The sequence below is a fragment of the Homo sapiens genome, chromosome X (assembly GCF_000001405.40).
Source record: "Homo sapiens chromosome X, GRCh38.p14 Primary Assembly".
In the NCBI taxonomy this organism is placed as follows: domain Eukaryota; kingdom Metazoa; phylum Chordata; class Mammalia; order Primates; family Hominidae; genus Homo; species Homo sapiens.
In genome coordinates this window covers 137,023,850-137,041,362 of record NC_000023.11, presented here as the reverse complement: position 1 = coordinate 137,041,362, position 17,513 = coordinate 137,023,850, and the positions used below count along the sequence as shown (strand labels likewise).

At 44.1% G+C, this 17,513-nt stretch overlaps 1 protein-coding gene across 1 annotated transcript, besides 2 other annotated features; it reads left to right on the top strand.

The window, feature by feature from the left end:
• On the top strand, positions 7,368-17,434 carry GPR101 (G protein-coupled receptor 101). Its single transcript, NM_054021.2, has 2 exons — positions 7,368-7,561; positions 9,597-17,434. The coding sequence occupies exon 2, from the start codon at positions 9,689-9,691 to the stop codon at positions 11,213-11,215; it is 1,527 nt and encodes a 508-aa protein (NP_473362.1). The 5' UTR covers positions 7,368-7,561; positions 9,597-9,688; the 3' UTR covers positions 11,216-17,434.
• Positions 9,268-9,811: an enhancer, noted in NCBI's record as "H3K4me1 hESC enhancer chrX:136113711-136114254 (GRCh37/hg19 assembly coordinates)". NCBI's record gives its function as "activates a minimal SCP1, AML or CMV promoter by ChIP-STARR-seq in primed H9 embryonic stem cells {active_cell/tissue: H9 hESC(primed)}" and the evidence as "EXISTENCE:reporter gene assay evidence [ECO:0000049][PMID:30033119]".
• Positions 9,812-10,356: an enhancer, noted in NCBI's record as "H3K4me1 hESC enhancer chrX:136113166-136113710 (GRCh37/hg19 assembly coordinates)". NCBI's record gives its function as "activates a minimal SCP1, AML or CMV promoter by ChIP-STARR-seq in naive H9 embryonic stem cells {active_cell/tissue: H9 hESC(naive)}" and the evidence as "EXISTENCE:reporter gene assay evidence [ECO:0000049][PMID:30033119]".

Here is a 17,513-nt window from a genome sequence, read left to right as displayed (position 1 = left end):
TGCAGTGTTTGATACTTTGAATAATTAATACTGATTAGCAATATGTCAGTTCTAACCATCCAATCCCTCCATTCAAGAAATATATGTTGTAGAACAAGGTAGGCCATTCCAATGCTCCCAGCACCTGATACCACACCAAAGTTATGTTGTGAAATTCTTGAGCCTCTGGGCAACTAGATGGGAGAAGATCAAGCATAGTTCTGAGATGAGCGCGTTTAAGGCTTTCTTGCCATGGACCTGGAGGTGACAGTAAGCAAAGCAGCTACAAAGAGTGGGCTCTGAAGTCAACCACACACTATTGGGGTGGCTTTGAGCAAATTATTTAGCTTATCTAACCAAAGTTTTCTCATCTATAAAATAAGGAATATTAACATTAACCACCTCTCAAAATTGTTGGAGAATGAGATGAGACAAGGAGTATAAAATTCCTTTCCAGGGATACATTTAAAAATACAACAAATTTGGCTGGGCGCGGTGGCTCATGCCAGTAATCCCAGCACTTTGGGAGGCCAAGGCGGGCAGATCACCTGAGGTCAGGAGTTCGAGACCAGTCTGGTCAACATGGCGAAACGCTGTCTCTACTAAAAATACAAAAAATTAGCTGGGCGTGATGGTGGGCACCTGTAATCCCACCTACTCGGGTGGCTGAGGCAGGAGAATCGCTTGAACCTAGGAGGTGGAGGTTGTAGTGAGCCGAGATCGTGCCATTGCACTCCAGCCTGGGCAGCAAGAGCAAAACTTTTTCTCGAAAATAAATAAATAAATAAATAAATAAATAAATAAATAAATAAATAAATTCCCTACGATAGGAAAGCAAAATAGAGTAGCGGCTAAGCATCCAAACTTTAAAGTCAATGTCAGTCCTAACTTCAAAATCTAGCCTTCTGTGTTCCTGAGTGGCTCTATGTAAACCATTACTCCATTCTGATCCTTGGTTCCCCATTCATAAAACAAGGCTAACGATGAGAGCATCTATCTCACAGCAGTCATTAAATGAGCAGGGAGAGGTCAGGTACTAGGTGAAGGGTAAATATTGAGTAACTGGGAGCTATTATCTGCCATGAGGTAATGACCAAAATTTTGCAAGTACTTGAGATGAGCTCACATTGCGTTCCCATCACAGAATGAAAATGGAAAAAGGATGCTGATTACTACAACACAATAGTACTGTGCTGGAACGCAGAGTAGACTGATGAGAGCCAAGACAGATGTGATCGGTGGCCTATGGTCCTCTCACGGAAAAGCCAGTGTTCTAATACCAGGAACAGGATCCTGGACATGTAAATCATTGGCTTTGGGATTTTTTTTTCCCCCAGTGATTATTTTCTTACAGTTTTATTTGGGTTTAAGAAAAGTAGATAAAACTGCACACATCTAAAGAGTGCAGTTTGATGAGTTTTGAAATAGGTATAAACCAAAAAAGCCATCATCCCAATCAAGATAATGAACACTTTTATCACCCCAAGAAGATTCTTTATGACCCTCTGTAATTTATCTTCCTCCCGCTCTCTTTTCGCTCATCTCAAGGCAACTACTGATTTGCCTTATGTCACATTAGATTAGTTTGAATTTCTGTAATTTTACATAAATGGAATCATACAGTATGTACTCTTTTTTGTCTAGTTTCTCTCATTCTGCATAATTATTTTGAGATTCATCCTTCTTGTGTACATCAATAACTTATTGTCTTTTTTGGCTGAATATTATCCCAATGTATGGATATTCCATTCACTTGTCGATGGACATTAGGCTGATTTCTAGTTTTTATCTGTTACAAATGAAAGTGTTATAAACATTCATGTACATCTTCACATGGACAGAGTCATATGGTAGGTAGATGATTACCACTTTTTAAAACTGGCCAAACTTTTTTAGTGTGGTTATACTATTTTCCATTTCAAAAATCAGTGTATGAGAGTTATAGTTTCTCCAAATCCTTGCCAAAAATATAGTGAGGATTTACAAAGAAACTACAAGCATTACGATGTGGCCTGGCATGGTTTTCTTCATATTTCTTTTGCTTGAGTTTTGTTGAGGTTTTTGAATTTGTGGGTTTATATTCCCATTACATTTGGAAATGTTTCAGTCATTGTTTCCTCAAATAATGTTTCTGCCTCCCTACTTATTTCTGGGACTCCAATTAACATATATTAGGATACTTCAAGTTATCCCACAGCTCACTGTTGCTCTTCTTATTTACTTCTATCTTTGTTCTTTCTGTTTCATTTTGCACAGTTTCTATTACTGTGTCTTCAAGTTCACTAATCTCTTCTGCAGTGTCTAGCATGCTAATAATGTCATTCAGTGTATTTTCTATACCAAACGTATTTTTTTACCTCTAGAAGTAAGATTTGAGTCTGTTTTATATTTTTATATTTTCCATGTCTCGCTTTTACATGCCCATACTTTCCTCTACATTCTTGAACATATGAATTATATTTTAAAAGCCATTTTAATATCCATGTTTACTAATTCTATCATCTGGGTCTGTTTCTATTTAAAAATTTCTCTTCTCATTAGGAGTATATTTTCTTACCTTGCATGCCTTATAATCTTTTATTGGATTTCACATTTTGCAAATTTTAGCTTATTGGGTGCTCCTTTAAATATTATTGTATTCCTTTACTTATTGTTGAATCTTGCTCTCGGTGCAGTAAAGCCACTTGCAAACAGTTTGATATTTTCAAAACTTGTTTTTAAGCTTTCTTTTTTTTATTATACTTTAAGTTTTAGGGTACATGTGCACAACGTGCAGGTTTGTTACATATGTATACATGTGCCATGTTGGTGTGCTGCACCCATTAACTCGTCATTTAACATTAGGTATATCTCCTAATGCTATCCCTCCCCCCTCCCCCCACCCCACAACAGGAAGGGGAACATCACACACCGGGGCCTGTTTTTAAGCTTTCATATGTGGGATCAGAGCATACTTGACACTAAGGCTAGTTTGGCTCCACTACTGAGGCAATCCTCCTCTGAGCACTTAGTCTGATGCACTGTATCTTATGAAGTCTCTTCTCTCTGACTACTGGGAAACTGAGCTATTCCCAGTCTTGTGTGAGCTCTACAAATCACTCCTCCTACTCCTTTTGAGTGGTTCTATCCCAACCTTGCATACTTTACATGCATGTGCTGATCAGTATTCAGCCTTGAGGGAAATCTTTTACAGAGTTCCGGAGTACTCTTTCTGTGCAGTGCCCCTCTGGCACCTTGCTCTGCAAATTCTGCCCACCCTCACCTCCTTGAATTCTGAACTTTGTCTCCTAAATTTAGGCGGACTTCCAGGCTCAGCCTGGATTCTTTCTTCCTGCACAGAGGACTGGAAATTCTCTCTAGGTAGTAAACGGAGGCAATTGTAGGGCTCACCTCATTTGTTTCTCTTTTCTTGAAGATCACTGTGCTGTACTGTCTATTTTCCAATGTCTAACAACTATTATTTTATGTATGTTGTCCACTTTTTTAGTTGTTTAAGATAAAAGGGTAAATCCTGTCTCTTATTCTTTCATGGCCAGAAGCAGAGTCCAGCTTTCAATTTTTTTAATATTTGGGTCAGATTAGTTTTGGGTTTTTAAAAATAACACTCAGATAGAAAGTAGATGGCATCAAAGGTCATAGACTGACAGGATCCTTAGAGACTACCTAACATCCAACCCCTAGCCCCACCACACACACACACATTCATTTGGTGGATTACAGAAGTGAGATCAGAGAGAGGAAGGGGATCTTCCCAAAGTTACATGCAAGTTAGCCACAGAATTAGGGCTAGAATTCAAGTCTTCTGCTCTCTAGTTTTAATCCATCAAGTTATTTTCTGCTGATTTTCTCTTCCAAATTAGTTTATTTGGATAGACATAGCTTTGAAATCCAGAACTTCTGTACTGCCCAAACCCACAGAATGTGCAATATTAGCTCACACCCAGGTGGTACTTGATTTTGTTTCAGTTTTGCAAACACAGCTTCTAGGAGTTGGCCTGAAGTGAATTCCAGAGTAACACATAACACTGAAAAATGTAAAACACCCCCATGGGTAGGCACTCCAGAACAAAACCATATATTTTTCCCCATCGACTTATTATGAACTCGCTAAGCAAAAAGGAGTGTGACTTAGAACTTAGATTGACTGATTTAGTCTTTTTACCACCTATGGGAACCATGTGTCTGTCCTACAAAAAGAAACCATTACCACTGCAAATGCACTTGTCTTTTCACAATTCTAGCAACTCCTAGTCCCCTTTCACCTAGATTCAAAAATTTTATCTGAGCTGGGTCTGGGAGCCCTTCTGTCTTGTCTCTGCACTCTTCCTTGATGTAGCCTAGGAAATGCCCCTGCTTTGGAGTTAGAGTAGGCTTTAACTCTCAGCTCCAAAACTTATTTGCTGTGTGACCTTGGATAAGTTACTTAACCCCTCTGTAAAGACAGGGATGATACTGTCTTACATTGATTCTAAAGCACATTTTTTTTCACATTCTAGCATCTTTGAAATCAAGATGTATCTTGTTAGCCATGGTATGATGGTTAAATGTTCAGCATTTTTCCATTTCCTAGTGGTATGTACTGTGTCATGCTTTCAGAAAATACGGTATTGTTTCCTAACTTGCAGAGCTTCCTCAAGGATTTAATACAAGACAGCAAGCATAAAGTAGGCACTCAAGGACTCTTGCACCGTTTATTACTAGAATGAATGACTAGAACTAATACTTGGCTGAGTCTTGGGTTTCCCAACTTCCCTCATCTAGCTATTGGTACAGCAATTGGGGCAATTAGTCTGACAAGGTGAACAAGCCTGAGGCCGGCACACTACTGACCAGTGTTGCAACGTGTGATTGTCAATGGGACCTTGGGCCCTTTCTTGTTGGTAGCTTCTTGCCCTCTAGTCCTGGTCCATTAATATCATCAGCTTGATCGTGCCTCTGCTGCTACTGAATTATGAAGGTAGGGAAAAGGACTAGGTGACTTCTTAAGCCATCATCCCAAAGTCTCCCTGTTTCATCCCAAAGACTCTCCCCAGAATGTAATGAGGCTTGTCAGTTGAAGGGCTCCTTCAAGGCTATCAGAATCAGAGCCTGCAGGGCTGGAAGCCAAATCCACATTCCCCAAAGCTCCACCACATACTTCCAGTTGGGGAACTGATATTTGGATGTCTTTGAAATCCAAGAATACCTACTCTGCTCACATCTGGAGGGAAAGAGAAGACACCGGAGGATTAACCACCCTCAAACATCTCCCTATACAGAAAAATAGCTGGTATTTATTTCCTAGCACTTCTCTGGCTTTTTTCCTATCTCCGGCTGGCAGGCTTGTCTCAGTTGCAGAGGCCTCATCCCACCCAACCCCTTCCACTCCCTATTATCCCCCTTCGTGCCCAAAAGTGCAGCTGCAGACTCCATGAGCCCATCCCTCTGAGGCACCAATCTTTAACATGTGTCTAGAGGGTCCCCTGCTGGAACCTAGCAGTCTCGGGCATGGTCACAACCACAATAAAAATAGGAAAGGTCAAGAAAGACTGGCCTTTGTCTCTGGCCACTTCTAGCAGCTTCACTGCCTCCCAAGTGATTGTAAAATCATTGAGTCTGAACAAACTACCGCTTGACAGTGCATGCCACCCAGGATTCTGTACCATGGCCAGCACGAAGCTAGGAATTAATAATAACTGTGAGTGATTATCACGGAAACTGTCTCTAGGAAAAATGACCAGGTTTTTACCATTCAACCTTGGGGAGATAAAATCAGGCATAGCAGAAAAAGGACAAATGATCTAAGAGCAAATGCAGGACTCCAGATCCAAAGAGCATTCTTGAGGCCCGATTATACACCTGTCTCATCTCCCTGTCTCAGAGGCAGGTGACGAGAAGGGGAGGAGGTATCTCCATCCAGCCCATCAACCAACTCCAAACCCTGTGCTCATTCTAGACCCTCCCCAACACCTCCTTGCCCTTATTCCCTGTCAATTTGCCTCTCTGTAGGTCTCTGCTTGCCCCGCTCTGTTGGACCTGTCAAGACCCTCTTTGTCTCCTGCCACAGCCTCCCTTCAGCTTTCTCCATCCAACACCAGCCCTGATTTTAGAATATCGCCCTACCTAAAACCCACCAATGAACAAGAATGGCAAATTATTTACCCTTGTGAAGGCTGGGTAATAGGAACATGGAGGATTATTTTATTATTCTCATTACGTTTGTGTATGCTTGAAGTCTTTCATAATAAAACGACTCTCCGACGACCTCCAGGGATCTCAGGGTAAAGTCCGAAGTCTGCAGACTGGCATTCAAGACCCCTCAGGATTTGTCTCTACCCAGTTTAACCAGCTAACCTCCTGGCACTCACCATGCTGCAGCCTGTTTTCCCAGCCTTTGGAACTCAAGTCTCTCTTGCAGCCCTAGTTTTACCCCATGCATCTTCTTTTTACAGAACACATTTCCCCTTGTGCCCTGCCTAGAAAACACCTCCTAATCCCTTGGAAATCTAATGCAAATGATCCCTGGTCTGGGTCACCTTCCCTACCTTCTGGGGGCAGGGAAGAGGGGGCCTCCTCAGTCCTGATATACAACAAATACCCAGTATGTGTTTAGGAGAGACCAGAATGTCTTGGCTAATAGAACGTGTGCAATATTTACTTGAACTTAGGCAAGTAGGGTAATCTTTCTTGGCTTCTGCTTCTGTCTCTATAAAATGAAGATAATAGCGGTACTTATCTCACAAGGCTGGGGTAAAGATTCAGCGGTATTCTCTGTGTAAACAGTTTAACACAGTACCTGGCAGAGAGAGGGGGAGAAAGAGGGAGAGAGGGAGAGATGCTGACTGACTTACAGACAGACATACTTCAATCAAAGAATATAGTGGGTAATTATGTGGCTTGTCTTAAATGAAATGCTTCCAAATCCCACAGGGAAAGCACTGCCGCTTAGCTCTTCCTGGGAGCTAGAGAAATTCGTGGAAAATCGTTGACATTAAAGTCACGATTCCTTTCTCGGGCTCAGGGGCTATTCATACTTTGGAGGGTTTTCAGAAGTCGAGGGGAGTCCCGGGCCCTCCTATTTGGAAGAATCGGAAGGATAGTGCAGGGTCTGTGCCTGGGAGCTGGCCCGAAATCAGGGGGCTAGGAAGGCACGGGGTTTGCACGAAAATCAGCCCCGGTGACAATCCCCAGTCTGTGAGCTCTCGGTGGACTCGGGGCCCCAGGGGTGGGAACCCGGAGTGAGAAAATCTGAGTGGGGTCTGGTGCACGGCCCCCCACCTGCCAGCCCCGCTCCCTGGGCTGCGGCGGCCTCGTGCGTCACGGGCGCAGGCGGGGGCCGAGGGGAGGGCGGCACCGCAAGGTGAGGGCACCGCGCTGCCTTAAGACGCCGCGCGCCCCCGCTGCCTCTCAGAGCTTGCAGCGCGGCGCGCTGGCCGGACGTGCGGGCACAGACGCTGTGCCCCGCTCCTGCCGCGCCCGCAGCGCCCGCTGCCCCGTGCCAGCTCGCAGCCGCCCGAGCCCCGAGAGGCGGCCGGGACGAGCGCGAGGAGCCCCGAAGGACCTGCACGCGGCGCCCGCGACGCCACGTCTGCAGCAGCAACAGGTAAGCAGCCCGGCCCTACTCCGGGCTCCGTGGCCCCCAGCACCCGGCAGGGCCCCGAGCCTGGGAGCCCACGACGCCCCCTCTGAAGCGTCCCGACGGCTGCTGAGCTACCAGGCGCGGTGGCCCGCGGTGCGGCCCCTTCTCGCCTTTCCCTAGCCATCCTCCCGCCCTCGCGTTTTCTCTCTCACTTTTTCTCGTGCGTTCTTTTCCCCCTTCCTCTCCATTCTCTCGTTTTTTCCTCATCCTTTCCCTCTTCCTCTGCTTGTTCTCTTTTCTTATTATTTTTTGCTTTTTCTGTCTGCGTCTCTCCCAGTCTGTCTTGCTCTCTCATTCTCTCTCACTCTCACGCTCCCATTTCTTCTTTTTTCTTTCTTTCTCCCTCTCTGTTGCTCACATTCTCTCTGTCTCTCTGTATGTATCTCATTCTTTCGCTGTCTCTCATTTCCTTTTTGTCTCTCTGCCTCTCAGTCTCTCTCGCCCTGCCTTTCTGACTCTCTCCACCACCCTGCACCCCTGCCTCTTTTGCCTTTCTCCCCAGCTCCTTTCCCACTCCCCTCGGCTGTCACCGACACCAAGCAGATCCGGAGAAAGCAAAGAGGATGCCAAATTGGGAATGGGGATGGGGCTGTGGAGGGTGAGGGTAGGGGAGCTCAATAGGCATCCTCTCTGCATTTTCCAGTCTCCATTGCACTGCTGATAAACTAAGGGTTTTTTAACCAAAGCCCGCGGTGGCCGGGGCGGCAGGTGGTTTCCACGGCAAAATAAAGTCCACAGGGAGACAGAGATCCAAAGAGACAGAGATCCAGCCAGAGAAAAACCAAGGTGAGGGGCCATGGGAAAAAGATGTAGAGAAATAGAGATGCGCACACACTCAAAGATACAAAGCAAGTGTTTAGCCAGAGTCCTGGGGTGACAGGAAAGTGAAGGACAGAGAAACCAACGAGAGAGTGCACACACTAAAGAGATAGCTTGAGAGACAGGTGAGACAAGCAGTAGAGTGTTAGAGATCAATGGAGAGAGAGGCAGAGTAATGCAGAGAGAACTTAGGCAGGGAGAGACAGAAACCACACGGAGAGACACAGAGACAAGAGGGTCCGAGAAAGACAGAGCAAGCGCACACGTGCCAGTGAGAGACAGAAGGAGACACCCAGAGAACCCGAGGGAGACGCAGAAACAAGAGAGTTGGAGAGACACGGAGACGGGCAGAGACACAGCGAACGACATTGAACAGGTGCGCTAGGGACCCACAAAGATGAACTGCTGGGGAAATAGACTGAGAGAGAAATGGAGAGACAAGAGAGCACTAGGGAAAGACGGAGACACACATGAACTAGCGAGCGACACAGTGACAGGCAGAGACACAGAGAGACAGAATGGATCAGAAAGAGACTGAGGGAGAGACGGGCAAGACTGTGAGAAAGATAGGGAGCGAGAGCGCAAGCCCTGCAGAGAAAGTGCGCTAGCGAAAGAGACACACACAGAGAGACTGAGTGACAAACAGAGTGGAAGAGATAAATGAGAGTAACAGGAAAGAGACAGCGTGCACGTGCTATCGAGAGACGGAGAAACAGAGACAGACATAAGTGAGAGACAAGGATGAGAAAGAATCAGGAAACGGTGAGACACATACAGACACACAACCCGAGAGATAAAGAAAAAAAGTGCGCTAGCGAGAGACACTGGAGAAGAGACAGAAACTGACGGTCGTAAACAGACAGAAACAGAGAGCGCACGCGCATGCGCTAGCGCTAGCGACCAAAACTCCCCGGAGCCAGAGACAGTGTGAGAGACAAGCAGAGAAAGCGCACGCACGCACGCGCCAGCAGGAGAAACAGATGAGAGGAAATCAGAGCCCTGGAGAGAGACAGGCAGACAGATCTGGAGAGTCCGGAAAGGAGCCATAGAAGCTGCCCGCACTGGGGATGGAGCCGTGCGGAAACCCGGGGTAGGGGGTCCTGCAGCGTCCTTGCTGGGCGCGGAGGCTTCTCCCCTTGACGGGTGACTAACTCTGCCTGCGTGTTTCTTTTGTCACCAGCATAGGCACTGAGTGCGGTCTGTGCACCCCTTTGCCACCCACCGGTGCCGGCACTGAGCCTGCAACCTGTCTCACGCCCTCTGGCTGTTGCCATGACGTCCACCTGCACCAACAGCACGCGCGAGAGTAACAGCAGCCACACGTGCATGCCCCTCTCCAAAATGCCCATCAGCCTGGCCCACGGCATCATCCGCTCAACCGTGCTGGTTATCTTCCTCGCCGCCTCTTTCGTCGGCAACATAGTGCTGGCGCTAGTGTTGCAGCGCAAGCCGCAGCTGCTGCAGGTGACCAACCGTTTTATCTTTAACCTCCTCGTCACCGACCTGCTGCAGATTTCGCTCGTGGCCCCCTGGGTGGTGGCCACCTCTGTGCCTCTCTTCTGGCCCCTCAACAGCCACTTCTGCACGGCCCTGGTTAGCCTCACCCACCTGTTCGCCTTCGCCAGCGTCAACACCATTGTCGTGGTGTCAGTGGATCGCTACTTGTCCATCATCCACCCTCTCTCCTACCCGTCCAAGATGACCCAGCGCCGCGGTTACCTGCTCCTCTATGGCACCTGGATTGTGGCCATCCTGCAGAGCACTCCTCCACTCTACGGCTGGGGCCAGGCTGCCTTTGATGAGCGCAATGCTCTCTGCTCCATGATCTGGGGGGCCAGCCCCAGCTACACTATTCTCAGCGTGGTGTCCTTCATCGTCATTCCACTGATTGTCATGATTGCCTGCTACTCCGTGGTGTTCTGTGCAGCCCGGAGGCAGCATGCTCTGCTGTACAATGTCAAGAGACACAGCTTGGAAGTGCGAGTCAAGGACTGTGTGGAGAATGAGGATGAAGAGGGAGCAGAGAAGAAGGAGGAGTTCCAGGATGAGAGTGAGTTTCGCCGCCAGCATGAAGGTGAGGTCAAGGCCAAGGAGGGCAGAATGGAAGCCAAGGACGGCAGCCTGAAGGCCAAGGAAGGAAGCACGGGGACCAGTGAGAGTAGTGTAGAGGCCAGGGGCAGCGAGGAGGTCAGAGAGAGCAGCACGGTGGCCAGCGACGGCAGCATGGAGGGTAAGGAAGGCAGCACCAAAGTTGAGGAGAACAGCATGAAGGCAGACAAGGGTCGCACAGAGGTCAACCAGTGCAGCATTGACTTGGGTGAAGATGACATGGAGTTTGGTGAAGACGACATCAATTTCAGTGAGGATGACGTCGAGGCAGTGAACATCCCGGAGAGCCTCCCACCCAGTCGTCGTAACAGCAACAGCAACCCTCCTCTGCCCAGGTGCTACCAGTGCAAAGCTGCTAAAGTGATCTTCATCATCATTTTCTCCTATGTGCTATCCCTGGGGCCCTACTGCTTTTTAGCAGTCCTGGCCGTGTGGGTGGATGTCGAAACCCAGGTACCCCAGTGGGTGATCACCATAATCATCTGGCTTTTCTTCCTGCAGTGCTGCATCCACCCCTATGTCTATGGCTACATGCACAAGACCATTAAGAAGGAAATCCAGGACATGCTGAAGAAGTTCTTCTGCAAGGAAAAGCCCCCGAAAGAAGATAGCCACCCAGACCTGCCCGGAACAGAGGGTGGGACTGAAGGCAAGATTGTCCCTTCCTACGATTCTGCTACTTTTCCTTGAAGTTAGTTCTAAGGCAAACCTTGAACTGTCCATAACACGAGAAACAAGAGGAGATTTCTTTTCAATGGACCCACAATTCATTAATGCCAAACCATACCATTTCAGGCAAAGGTGTTGCACACACATGCTCTTCACCACAAGGTAGATAAATATATAGAAGAGGCAGGAACTGGGGTCTTTCCGTAAAAGCATGGACTTGAGGATTCTGACTGAAATTTTCCCCCCAAAGATTATTAGGCTCTACATTTCTTAAAGCAACAAGGGCTATCCATTTTGGACTTGTAGTTGGTATTCTATCTTTTCCAGAGCTACAACATGCCAACTTTAGCTCTGAAGGAAAGGGAAGATGATGCTTGTGAACTTAAGGACTTTTCGGCCCTCGGGTCGGGAGCTCATGGGCCAGAGCTACAGCTTGTGTTCAACTGAAAGAAAGGCAATGGACCAAATCATTCATGGAGCCCAAGAAACAGAACCTAATGGACTGATCAACATATGAGCCAAATTCTGAACTGAACAGCCCCACAGTCGGGTGCAAAGACTGTTACACAAACTAAAACAAAGGGCCTCCTACAGTTAGAATCTCAAGAAGGTTTCTAGATCCCCTAAAGGGATCCAGAAAAGTAGAAGGACATGTATGAAATGGGAAGCTAGTCCAAGGGAAAAGATTGAGAAATAACACACATCTGGAGAGCTAAACAGTTGACTTTTTTTCCTATAAAATCTTGGGTTTATGCATGGGCTGGAACTGAGGTCATTAAGTGTAAATTGTCAATTGACACAAATATTTTCTGTCTCCTGTTTGAATAATAGTGGGGCAGAAATCATGCCACTATTTTACAACTTCCCTTATGTGACTGAATTGAGATGCTGGTGGGAATTCTTCAGATCTCTGCCAACACTTCTGTTTTCTTTTGGTTTGTTTTTGTCAAATAAGCCTTTTTTAGTCAAACAGTATTTACAGAAAAAAAGAAATTCAACTAGAAGTGGCCTAAGTCCTACAAAATTCATGATGTCACTGAGGAATAATTTGTTCATCAGAAATATATTTTGTGTCCATGAGATCATAGACAATAAATGTGATCTCCACATGGGGAGCAAGGAAGGCAGAATGAACATTTTTCTTCCTCCAGGCACACCCATGTGTCTTTTCCACCTGTGGCTCTCTTTAAAGCTTTTAAGCTCTCTGCAGATGTGAAAGAGAAATATCAGAGAGTCAGAAATGACAAAGAGGATGATTTCACAATACCTAGAAAACATGTAACCTATTCCAAACAGTCCTAAAATCAGAGCATTCAGATCAGACATATCCTAATTAATGCTGTTGAAATAAATCACGTTGGGAAAACTTTAACAATATCTAAATTATCCCTAGGGTCAATTCACAGGAACATTCCTCAAATCCCAAACCGCAAAATAACTTTGGGCAGGGATATACATATACATTTCTGAGGGCATGGGCCGTATGTATGTGACCAAGTAACATGGAACCAAAAAAACAGTCAAGCCAGTGTTTTTGATCCTCCTACAGAACAAGTTAAAGCAACTCCAGAGTCAACCAACTGTTCATGCAGAAATCCACTGTCAATATGGGTGGAGGGAGTGTTTGGTTGAAAATGGTTAATCAGGTAGTTGTATGATGTAAGATGACCATCTTCAGAGTTTAGCCTCATTCTTGTGTGATTGTCATGCCTTTATTAGAACTCAAGTTTCATTTAAATAAATGCCCAGCTCATTTATTTTTTTTTATCTCTTCCTCCTCACAGATTTCAACATGAACTTCTCAAGGGGTAAACAGCAATGTATTTGGACTGTGAATAACTCTGCATGGGAATTTGGGATTGCCATGTTCAGAATTTAGGAAAGTAGAGGGAATAGAACCAAATAATATAGAGCTGACCCATCCAATAAAAATACCATGATAACCTTATTAATTCCAACTCCATTAATTTGGAACTTGTAGTTATTCAGACAAGGCATGGGGGCTAAAGTTTACCCTTACACTATCATTTATTTTTCTACCAAAATGCATAAAGTGAATTAACAGTCATAAATTTGTTCTACCAATTTATTGCCAAACTCTTGAACTGACCTTTCCTTAAAGGATATCTGGGTGAAGAAATGGCCTATGTGATCAATCCTCCTACAGGGGAGGGGCAGTGCCTTCAGGTCTGTTCAAATTGTCAAAGGAGTTCAAGGTAGCTATAGCCTATCCTTTGAGTAGAAATGCTTACTTGGGTAGGAAACAGGATTTCAAACATAAATGTCTCCAAACATTGTGTTAAAACTGAACTTCTTGTTTTATTTTTAAAGCTCACCCCCTTCAAAGTGTATCAGAGAAAATTGTTTGCCAAAATCTCAAATCAAAATGGAACCAGAACCTGTACAAGTATGGTAAGTCCATTTAACAGCACACACAACATTCTCAAGGGCACTGAGATTCCCTTTCCTTTTTGAAGTTCCTCTTTTCCCTATTTTAGTCATTGTCCATTATTTTGGTAAATTGGATTCCTCAAAAGTGAAGACCTTTTGAAACTATGAGCCTGGAAAAGAGGACCTTTTAATTAAGAGCATTCTGCTTTGATGACATTTTCTTCTAAATGAACAATAAGGCCTATGGTTAGCTTGGAGATAGCAAGTACTCGAAATTTTTTGCTATTTTGAATAAAGCACTATCAACTTAATGAGGTTTTACTGCACATACTGTTTTGTCATTTGAAAATCTGAAAGCACACAAAAAAAGTCATCATTAGCCTCACAGATCCTCATGTGCAATAGCTTTCCCTGAATGTTTTTAAAGGATGTATTCTTTTGCCAAGGCCACTTCATATGTGCAGTAAAAAAAAAAAAAAAAATCCCATTAAAGTACAGGGGCCAGACAAACCAGACTATGAAATGATGTGATTTTAAATTTAATGATTTTCCTTATTTACGAATAATAGAGCATCTAGTTTGCCAAGAAGTCGCAGGTGCTTTGACTAACACACCAATTTCCACAAGCTTGGGAAGGCAGTAATAAGGAGCAAGCCCTGGGCTTCTGTGACTTCTGTGATGCTAGGGTCCCACTTCTCTGAGACACCACAAGTACCAGCTGCTTGGAAGGCCTCTGCACTTCCAGCTCCCTGCCTACCTCTTGCCATCAGCCCACTGCCTTCACCTGCCTCACTCCCTCTCCCTCTGCTGCACTGGCCCTTCAGGAATAGTCCATGCTTGAAGCTCTGCGTGTTCACCTACTCCCCATCCATCCCTTCCCAACCCAGAGCTGACAGATTCACAGGGACCTGGGGGCCTATGGAAGCAGGGAAGGAGAGAAGTGAGCCATAGGAGCAATGAAAGGTATTTTTCTGTCTCCTACCCAACTCCAATCCAATTTAGAGATGACGGGATACCTACTTCAAATTCAACAGGTAAGGAAAAGTGCCAGTTATTATTTAGTAGAAGGTAGGCACCTAATTTTTTACCAAAAAAGCACTCGATATTACACATCATTGGGGGAATAGTCAATACTGTAGATACTGTCCAATTATTTCAGCAAAAATAGAACACTAAAAAATGTTTCACCTACAGAATTATAAGATGCCTAACATTGCCTTATTTTATATATAATTAGCCAATTAAGCTAGGTAAAGTTACTTCAAGAAGATTTTTTCATACTACCTGAAGAATAATTTACATGATTAAACTAGGCTTACTTAGACTTTGCCAAAAAAGCTTTTAAAAGTGTCTGAAACACATCATTTGGAAGAAAAAAAATACGCATCATCTGGTAATTTGGACTCTCAAGATAAAACTCTCATGGGTTGTTGGGATAAAACAATGAGCAACAATTTAAACTACTGGACTGTATTTTTCTCTCATAACCACCCTGCCCAATATTTTGAGGAAAAAAATAACGTGTTTTCCCCTCATAATGTCTTTTCTGTTGTATTCCTCTTTAAGAAAGACCTCACGCTGTCAGGAGAGGTTTCTCTAAGCAAAATGCCGTTTCCTTCTAGACCAGACAAAAGATTACAGGAACAGTTAGCTGTTAGCCAGTGGCCAAGATAAGGAGAGAAAATCTGGCCACTCAATGGCTTTTAACCCTCTCCCTCCTTATCTCTTCCTCTTACTTTCCATGGGCTGGACTAGTGCTCTCGGCCCCTCAAAGCCCCTCTAAGCTAAGGCATGAGGAGACAGAAGCAATGAGCTGGAAACAGCAAATGCGATAGTCTAAAATCCAAAAAGAAGAGAAATCCTTGTCATAAATTCTTTCCAATTACTTAGCAATGATCTCTTCCTCTACGTCAAATGCCCAGCTTGCTTACAGCAGTCTTTTGCCCTAAGCAACAAAACTGGCTAGAGGAAGAAACAGTGAAGCTAAAATCCACTGAACCTGGCCACAGATTGCCAGGTCACTGACAAGTTCACTGCTCTTTGGTAAATAGAATAAGAATCCTCAAGGTAAACGAAGGTTGCTAATAGGTGTCAAGTGTTTCCATCATTGCCTCCCAAAGCCTCCATATCTCAGAGTACACACACCAAGGGAAAACCACAGTGACTTAGACACTCAGCAGGAGGTTTACTATGTCTGAGGAATAATTATTCTATCTGTCTTGTTCTAAAATGTAGAGAAAAACAAGATTGGTTTTAGTTTGATGTTTCAAACGTGAGTGGATTTTCCCCCCTCTTCATCTGTGCTACAACTTTAATGTTAAAAGTTTGGTATTTTCATCTTTAGTGATGTAGTATTTTTTGTAGTAATTCTCCTAAATGTAAACTATAACTGTATATAAAATGTAAGTGTTCTTGGAGATACGGTGCTAGATATTAGATTGTGTTTGTAGATAGTGTTGTCCTCAAAGGTAGTATGTACTTGTAAAGTTAGTTAATAAAATGCATGCCAAATTCTATGTGTGACCTACAACTTAGTCAGTTTCTGATGTAGAACATGGTACATTTGTTTTTTAAATTTATTTTTGAAGTATATACTACAGGATATGTAAAATAGTGCCAAGGTGGGGTTGCAGGAAGTGTTGCCTTTCATTCCTTAAATCCCTAATATGATATATGACAGGTGAGGACTTATTCTGGTACAATTGGTCATTAGTGTGAACTAATCATCGTGGCTGAAGTCCTTGCTGACAGTTTTCCACAACACACTTGGCACTGGTGTGCCTGTTTTCTATTCACTGAATATATAGAATGCAAACTCAAAGAAGACCATCCTTCTCCATTAAAAAGGAAGGACTCCAGGATAGGCAAGTAGAGTCCAGTTAGCAGGACGAAAAGAATACTGCACCCTGAAGACCCAACCAACACCTGACCGTGAACTGACAGGTTTCGCGCTTGGCAGATCCATAATGTGACCATCCATGCCCTCCTAAAGCAGTAGCAAAACCCAGAAAAAGGCTGCTCTGTTTTTCCCCCTTTGGTTGGTTGTCTGAGAGACAAGATAGAGACAGCATGGATGGCTAACTAGATAGAGAGGTAGTGGGACTCCTCTATGGGGTCACAGCTACGGTGTTTGATAGTTACAGTACTGTATCAATGGAATTTGTGTCAGACAAGAAAAGAAAACTATAAGATGATTTTGTTATATTTTCAGAACAAAATATTACAACTAAAAAACTATATATACCCTCATTAAATTGTTTTTAAAACTGCCTTTAATACCAAATTTTGTGAGCTGCTTTGAAACTGAAAACAGAAAAATGTATTTAATCAATAAATAGTTCTCTTTAATATTTTAACGTTTGAATTTAAAAGTTTCATTTTTCTTTAAAAACAGTAAGAATTTGTAATTGAAAAGTGCCTTCTCAAAGGATTGTCAAACTACAGTCCTGAGGCCAAGTTCCCATTGGCACGACTTACCTTCAGGTGCACAAAACAGGTAGGCTTTATCTTCCTCCCCTCAACAAGAAGAGAATCCCACTCACACCCCAATCAAATTCATAAATCAACACTATTACATGGGCCAGCAGTCCCAGAGATTCTGCCCAAGGCCAAGGTTTCACATATTGGTTGGCTTTAATTGGATCCTTTCTAAAATGGTTACAATGCCTTTTTTTTTCTTTTGCTGGAAAGGAATAACGGACTCCTGCTTGGGAAATGCGGAGAAATTGATGTTTGTGATTTAACTAAGTATTATTAAGTGATGTTTGTGTTTCTTAAATAGGTGCTGTTATTCTATCCTTGGTATATTCCTCTTAAATATTCTAAATAAAGTCAAATTTTATGTGTGTATCTGGTTTTTATGCCAAGATCCTTGAGGAAACAGTGAGGGAGACAGATACCTTGGTCTCCATCCCTTCTCTTTTGCTTG